This window comes from Homo sapiens, chromosome 18 (genome assembly GCF_000001405.40).
Source record: "Homo sapiens chromosome 18, GRCh38.p14 Primary Assembly".
Lineage (NCBI taxonomy): Eukaryota > Metazoa > Chordata > Mammalia > Primates > Hominidae > Homo > Homo sapiens.
The window spans coordinates 60,177,888-60,186,352 of record NC_000018.10 but is presented as its reverse complement, the minus strand read 5'-3'; positions in this window follow the sequence as shown (position 1 = coordinate 60,186,352).

Below are 8,465 nucleotides of genomic sequence, written 5' to 3'. Positions count from 1 at the left end.
ATGAATTGCAGATCAACAATTATTTATTGGTGTAAAATGCCATCTTTTACATAAGTTTTCAGTATTTTATTTGTAATTTGGGCATACTTAGTGCTTCATACAAGTAAATTTAACTGTGATTCTTCAAGAAATTAATTTGCCTTGATGGGAATGCTGAATCTGTATCAGGGACAAAGCACAGCACAACATATCTCTATTTACTTTATATAATTTATTCTATCAATTAAATAATTGAAGCAAATATCATGCAGTTTACTTATTATTGATGTGTATTCTGATATTATGTACACTTTCTCTAACTAGAAGAAATGAGCCAATTTTTGTTTTGCTCTCTTTGTAACTAAACAAGGGACTTTATTCAGATTTCACCAGTTTTTCTATCAATATCGCTTGTCAGTTTTGTTAAGAATTGACATCTTAACAATATTGAGTCTTTCAATTCATGAACACAGCTTATCTCTCCATTTCTTTAGCCTTGTTTGATTTCCTTTATCAGCACATTGCAGTATGTCAACATATAGGTTACACATGTATTTTGCTGGATTCATTACTATTTTTGTGCTGTTGTTAAATGCATTTCTTAACATTTGAAATTCTACTTATTCATTGCTAGCATATAGAAATACAGTTGACATTCTTATATTAACCATGTATCGTGTGATCTTGCTAAGCTCATTTATTGATCCAGAGCTTTTATCGGACATGTTTTGGCTTTTCTGCAGTGTCTATCATATCAGAGCCATTTTTGTTTATCTTTTTCCAATTTGAATGCCTTTTATTTCTTTTTTGCCTGACTACATTAGCTATTATATTTTTTAAAGAATGCATTTGCAGTATTTTCAGAAAGAAAAATTATCCTAAACTCAGTTAATAGAGTTTTTGAGTACATGCTTTCATAAAGCCCTTTTTTGATTAATAAAATCATATTATTTTTCAGAAGCAGCACCTGAGTAAAGAGAAGACTTCTTAGTCTGGCTGTCAACAAACTGTGGGGTGTCACTGAAATCAATCTTATCTCTCAGAATCTCAAATTCAAACTCATAGATTGCTTTTTATTTAAAATGTCACAGAAGGCCTTTCAGGAAGGACCTTCACACTCTCCCATTTTACTGATGAAGAAACTAAACAATGGAAAAATAATGAGATATGCTTAAGATTACAAAATAGAGTGCCATTGCTGAGACAGTGGCATTACCATGACTTGAAAGTGGACCTTCCAATTGCTACTCCAAGGGCTCTATTTGTATATATCAGAAATGTGACAGACCACCTTTATGACTATTATTGCTCCATGTTCAGATAGAATCTTGTCCTTGGTTTTCCTGTTCCATTTTCTTTATTCTTCTAATCATCTGTTCACTAAATCGTGTGAGAACAGGAGTGAAGATTTGCCTCTTCGCTAGACTGTGAATGCCTTGAAGGTCGGGACCATGACCATATAGAAATCAGCTCTTTTCATCCCTAGCTCTTAAGTAAGAGATTCAGAATTTGGCAGGCTGTTTGCTAGTTAGATATTAATTGATGTATATTGAAATTTAATTATTGAAGAATGACAATCTGAAAAAACAGAAAGCGTAAAATTTCAGATAGTGCAGTGTGGTAAAAACGTCAGGATGTCAGTGACTGGGAGTTTATCCATGATTCATTACATAAATCCATGACCCTTAGCCTATCAAACCACCTCTTCAGGTCTCACAGTAATGTGACAGTGATAATGCCTCAATGATTTGAAAGCAAAGAGCAGGACCAGCTGATAACCTAAGATTCTATCCAGCCTTAGGAGGCATATTTCTGTGAAAACAGCACAGTCACACACATGACATTGTGTAAAACACATCAAGATATCAATATAGGTGTGTTCGCGTCCTTGTCCCCTCCCCACCTTCCAAAAGAAAGGAGTGTTTGTTTGAGAACTACCGGGCTTGGCATGTTTTGGTGAGACTATCTACAAAACCAATAGCCAGGAGAATTGAAAAAGATCCAGAAAGGCTTGACTTATTTACGCTGAAATAGGGAGACAGGCTCAGGAAAACAGATTGGAATCCTGAAAGAGGAGGGGAGGTGCGGAGTAATCAACACAATGTGGAATCACCCTGATGCAGCGTGGAGTCAGCCGAAAGAGCGGGCAAATGACCTTCTGGAGGCAGGTTCTGTGCTTTTTGAGTGAGAGAGAGAAAACAAGAAAAATTGCTAAGTTTTTAAAATGTGTTCTCTGAAAAGAATCTCCCATACTTGCACCACACAAAAGTCTTTAATATTTTTTCCATGTAGGACTAATGATTCTTTGAATGGTAATATCATGCTGAGACAGGTTCATAAAAAGAGTCAACTATATTCAAGTAACATTTGTTTTCAAAATTTAGTTAGTTTTACAAGATACATGATTTTCACAAAGCTACCTCAATCCCAGATGCTAAAATGATACTCCTCAATAATATTCCAACTTAAATGTCACCTTCCCCCTGAAGCTTTTCTTGTCATTTCCATCAGGATACAATCTCTCCTGCTTTAAACTTCTATAATGTTGTAGTCATTAAAGATGCTCACATATATTCTGGTTTTCCTGCTTCCAAGAACATGGTAGGTAGAACTTGCTTATGCCCTTAAAATCAGTAACCCACTTGACTTGTCTTAAACCAATAGCATGTGGAGAGAAGACTAGAAAAGCCAGTGGATTTTCATGTTTCCCCTATCCCTGCTGTTTCCTCTGGCACACAACAGTAACATTCCAGGTGGTGGAGTCTCCCTTAGGCTGGGTGCAAGTGTAAAGAGACACAGAGCAGAGCCTCCAGTGGCCCCAGAACAGGCACATAATATGCATGAAAAATAAACACATGCCATTACAGGCCATTATGACTTGGGGGCTGTTTGTTATCTTAGCACAAGCTAACCTTTCCTGACATATATAAAATCTATGTGAGTCTCTGATGCAACTCATCACTTTTGATTTCATGATAATACTTATTGACCATAATTTTTTAATCTCATAGTCAAAACTATAAGCCCTTTGAGGATAGAATAATTTTTTAATACATGTCTTCTTATTTCTTATCATCGTGAGTGTTATGATATGGGTAAGAATTAGTGAATGGGTAAATATATAGTAAATGAATTATTTATTTTAGCTATTATAGATATATGTTATTATTATTTCCACATTATACCAAAATTATGGTGAGTTAAAGCTCTACATACAGTATTTTCCTAAATTTCTTGAGCCTTTCTAATGCTCTATATTGAATGAACCTCTATGATCATAATTTATAAATAGTTTTTGAAGTCACCCACTGACATACTGAGATGATCTTACAGAGATAATTATGTTACTGTCCTAGGATAATAAAAAGCAATCATGAAAAATCTATTTTAAAGTAAATATTAATGAACTTAAGAAATGCTCACTAAAGAAGAAACCAATAAGAATCTCCAAAATATACCCAAAAAATGAGCTTTAAAAGAAAACATGAATAAAGTAAAGCTCATCAATATTTAAATGGCTTTAACATTGCAATTCAAACATCAGACTTACAAATTAACAAAGAGATTTTGACAAATAAAACTGGTAAATTAAACTTAATGATTATTTTATTATGAAAACAAAATTTTAGTGGTGAATGTCATGCATCAGCTAAATAAGTTTTCCTTTCCTTGATGAACAACAGCTCAGTAAAAATCAAATGTGTAGAAAAGCACAGAATAGCTTAAGGTGAAAAAGTACAATGTTTATTTGAACTTAGATTCTTTAGCAATCCTCATAAAGACAAAATTTTCTCAGATTAAAAGTGAAACCTAGAGAACTGACAAAAACAATACAGGAAACAAATTATTTATTATCCACATCTGAGCAATCCCAGAGTCACTCTTCACTTTTCTAAAACAGAAGTAAACAGATTAATATTGCCAGCCCCCGCCCTTTATCTCATTTATCAAGACACTGGCCAACCCCACAATCTGGGGCATCTACACAATTGGAGCTGGTGAAACCTCCCTAGCAGCAGCTCCTGCCCCTACTGGCATAATAAAGAGAAATTCTTGTAAGATACAGTGTGAAAAAATAGGGGAAAAAAGGTTACATCACCTAAAGGAAGAAATAAAAGAATTATCAGAAACTTATTTTTAGAAACTTTGCCAGCTAGAAGACAATGGAACAATATCCGAAAGAAATAGTTAACCAATAATTTTATATTGAGATAGAAAATAAATTTCTGAATTAAAGGTAAAATAAAGCACTTTCAGACAAGTAAGTTCTAAGAGTCTTTGTTACCAGTGTATTGTGTAAACAACAAACGTTAAATAAAGTTATTGAGGTACTCCAAACAAAGCCTGAACTTTAGTTAACAATAATGTGCCAGCGTTGGTTGCCTAGTTTAACAAATGTCCCCTGACAATATAAAGTTCTAACAACAGGTAAAAACTGGGTGAGGAACTCTCTGTAACTTTTCTGTAAATCCGAATGTTCTCCAAAATCAGAAGTATATTGAAAAAAATTTGCAACTCCTGCACTTTGAACGATACAATTATAGAAATAGAAATATAAGCCACAGAATGTGATAAAATATTTGCAAAACATACATATAATAAAGAAGTTATATCTAAATGTATAAAAACCCTCAGAAGTTATTAATAAGAAAACAACCCAAAAGAAATAGACAGAATATTTAAACAAAGAACAGATACAGATGACATATAAACACACAAAAAAAGGATGTTCAATATCATTAGTTATTGGGAAAGTACAAATTAAAACCACAATAAGATGGTACTACACACCTATTGGAATGGCTAAAACTCCTAAATCTGACTGACAGGCAAGAATATGGAACAAATAAAACTTTCACACATTGCTCACAGAGATGAAAAATGGTGAAGGAACTTGGAAAATATGTTGACAATTTTGTATAAAGTTAAACAAACTGTTGTCATACTAATCATAATGTTATCCCTACCATTTAGCCAAGACACATGAAAATATATGTCCGATCATAGACCTGTACACAAATGCTCACAGTATTTTTGTTTATAATAGCTAAAAACAGGAAACAAGTCAAATGTCAATGGGGAGCAGATATACCAGCTATGTAATGGAGTGCTACTCAGCAATAAAAATGAACAAGCAGCTGATACACACAACAGCATGGATGACTCTCAAAACCATTTATGCTAAGGGGAAAAAAGCTGGATGAAAAGCTACATACTATAGGATTTCACTTTTTTTTTAATGAGTAACGATTTTATTTTTTTAAATTTTTTAGTTTTGTTCTTTAAACTTTTATGTTCAGAGGCACGTGCAGTTTTGTTATATAGGTGAACTCATGTCACGGGGCTTGTGGTACAGATTATTAGTACTTAGGTACAAAGCCTAGTACCCAACAGTTGTTTTTTCTGATCCTCTCCCTCCTCCTACCTTCCACCCTCAAGTAGGCTCCAGTGTCTGTTGTTCCCCTCTTTGTGTCCCTGTGTGACATTCAGATAAAGGCAAAGCCACAGAGAGAGAAATCAGACCACTGGTTGCCGAGGGCTGGAGGTGAGGATAGGTTACCGTTTAAAAAGGGTGTAAAGGAACTTCCAGGGATGATAAAAAAATATTCTATGTCTGGATTATGGTGAATGTGTATGACTATATACGTTAGTCAAAATTCATGAAACTATACAACTAAAAAGGATAATTTCTTCTGTATATAAATCATACCACAATAAACCCGACTTTTAATTAAAAGACAAACAAACAGATGTCTTTGGAAGTGAAAGGTAAACTTTTCATAAGTGTTTATGCTTTAAAATAAAAATTCAAAGAATCATTTTGCTTGTTATACTTGGCTAAGGCTCTGCTGACACTTCTGCTGGATGTATACAATCACTTTCCTTTGCTTTTGAAATATTCCAGTAGAAAATATTAAGAGAAACTGGTATTCTGTGTAATTTGTCATGCCTTGAAGGAAAGTTTGTTTAGAACTGTCCATAAAATATCTGGGTTATACATCTCTGAGTGGTTTTTATCCTGAGTTGAAGAATATATCGAGTATAAAGAAAAATTTGTACAGCTGCCTTCAAGCAATGACAATATAAGGTAAATGTCACTGAAAGTGTGTTACTTTGAAGTGAGTTGTTTAAGAATTATCAGGAATTGTGTTGGGTTGAGATCTTTTTAAGTTCCAAACAAAAGACTAATATAATAAAGATAAAAATTGATAAATATATGAACATTTAAAGCTATTGGATGTCAAAATTATGAAAAGTAAAATTAAAAATCAAATTAAAAACTGGGAAAAATGTTAGCAAACCACAAAATGGACCAAGAGTTAATAAATTTAGGGCTCATAAATAACTACTGAAATAAAAAAACCCAGTACAAAAAAACCCTAGAGAGGTATAAATTGACAATTCACAAAAGAATAAATTGATTATTCAAAAGATAATGAAAACATTTCATCTGACTGGTAATAAAAGGAATAAAATTTGTGTTTATTGCATTGGCCAGAATTTTTAAATGAAAATTATCCATGTGGTGTAGTGAAATGGTATGCCAACATTTAATTTTTTCAAAGATTTTTAACGATGGTTGAAATGCAAATTAACACAAATATTCTGGAAAATACTTTGGCAATATGTATCAAAAACCTTTAAGCTGTTCATACTGTTTTCTTAGCAATCGTATCAGTATTGATACATGCAAATATTTAACACATGGGTATTCACTCAGTGTTATTTATAATTCTGAACTGGAAATAAACAATAGAGTTATTTAAATAAATTATATCATACAATGGGACTACTATGCAAATATTAAAATAATGTTCTAGAAAAAATACATTATGAGATATTTAATAAGAAATGTGTAGAGCATTTCAGTAAGTAACATACAAAAGTTTGATCCCATTCATTCATTTATTTTTAAATGGAGAACAGAAAATGTACAAGATAAGCCTGAAACGTTTTGTCATATCAAAAAGCCAAGAAGCATCTGCACGTTATGAAGGTCTTTATAGGACTCTGAAGTAATTCTACAAGAGACTCTTTCCCTGCAAAAGTTTAAAATTTGGGTATCTATAAGCATATCTACAATGGACTTAAAAATATCAAATATATTTACATCTATGTCCATAATATTCCAAAAGAAAAATGAAACTCATTGATTACCTTTGGACAATATTAGGAAACCAACTGATTATTTTCTGAGCTGGCACATAAGGGAAATTAAGAATTTATTCTCTTTTCTATATAGAATATAATTTGGGGTAATCAAAAGATTAATATACTTAAATATATAAAGTTAAAATGTATTTAAATATATAAATATATATTTATACATTTATATGTTATGTATATTTGTATTTATTTAAATATATAGAAGATATATATATTTAAATAAATTTTAAATATAGAATATATAAACACATAGAGAAGTATTTTTATAGAAGCACTATGGCTAACAAATGAAGAGTGATAGAATTAGGTTACCAAGCTAGGCACTGTGGCTCACGCCTGTAATCTCAACACTTTGGTAGGCCGAGGCAGGAGGATCACTTGAGCTCAGGAGTTTGAAATCAACCTATGCAACATAGCAAAACCCTGACTCTATAAAAAGTAAAAAAAAATTAGCCAGGCATGGTGGCACACGCCTGTAGGTCCAGCTACTTGGAAGGCTGAGATGAAAGTATCATTTGAGCCCAAGAGGTCAAGAAGGTAGTGAGCTGTTGAAAGGTGAAGCCGGCTGGGCATCTGGGTCAGGTGGGGACTTGGAGAACTTTTCTGTCTAGTTAAAGGATTGTAAATGCACCAATCAGCGCTCTGTGTCTAGCTAAAGGTTTGTAAACGCACCAATTGGGTGGGGACTTGGAGAATTTTCTGTCTAGCTAAAGGATTGTAAATGCACCAATCAGCACTCTGTGTTAGCTAAAGGTTTGTAAACACACCAATCAGCACTCTTTAAAAACGGACCAATCAGCACTTTGTAAAATGGACCAATCAGCACTCTGCAAAATGGACCAATCAGCAGGATGTGGGCAGGGCCAAGTGAGGGAATAAACGCTGGCCACCGCAGCCAGCAGCCGCAACCCTCTAGGTCCCCTTCCATGCTGTGGAAGCTTTGTTCTTTTGCCCTTTGCAATCAATCTTGCTGCTGCTTACTCTTTGGGGCCGCAGTACCTTTGTAAGCTGTAACACTCACCGCAAAGGTCTGCGGTTTCACTCCTGAAGCCAGTGAGACCACGAACCCACTGGGAGGAACGAACAACTCTGGACACACAGCCTTTAAGAGCTGTAACGCTCACTGCGAAGGTGTGCGGCTTCACTCCTGCAGTCATCAAGACCACGAACCCACCAGAAGGAAGAAACTCTGGACACATCTGAACATCTGAAGGAACAAACTCCGGACACACCATCTTTAAGAACTTTAACACTCACCGCAAGGGTCCACAGCGTCATTCTTGAAGTCAGTGAGACCAAGAACCCACTGGAAGGAACTA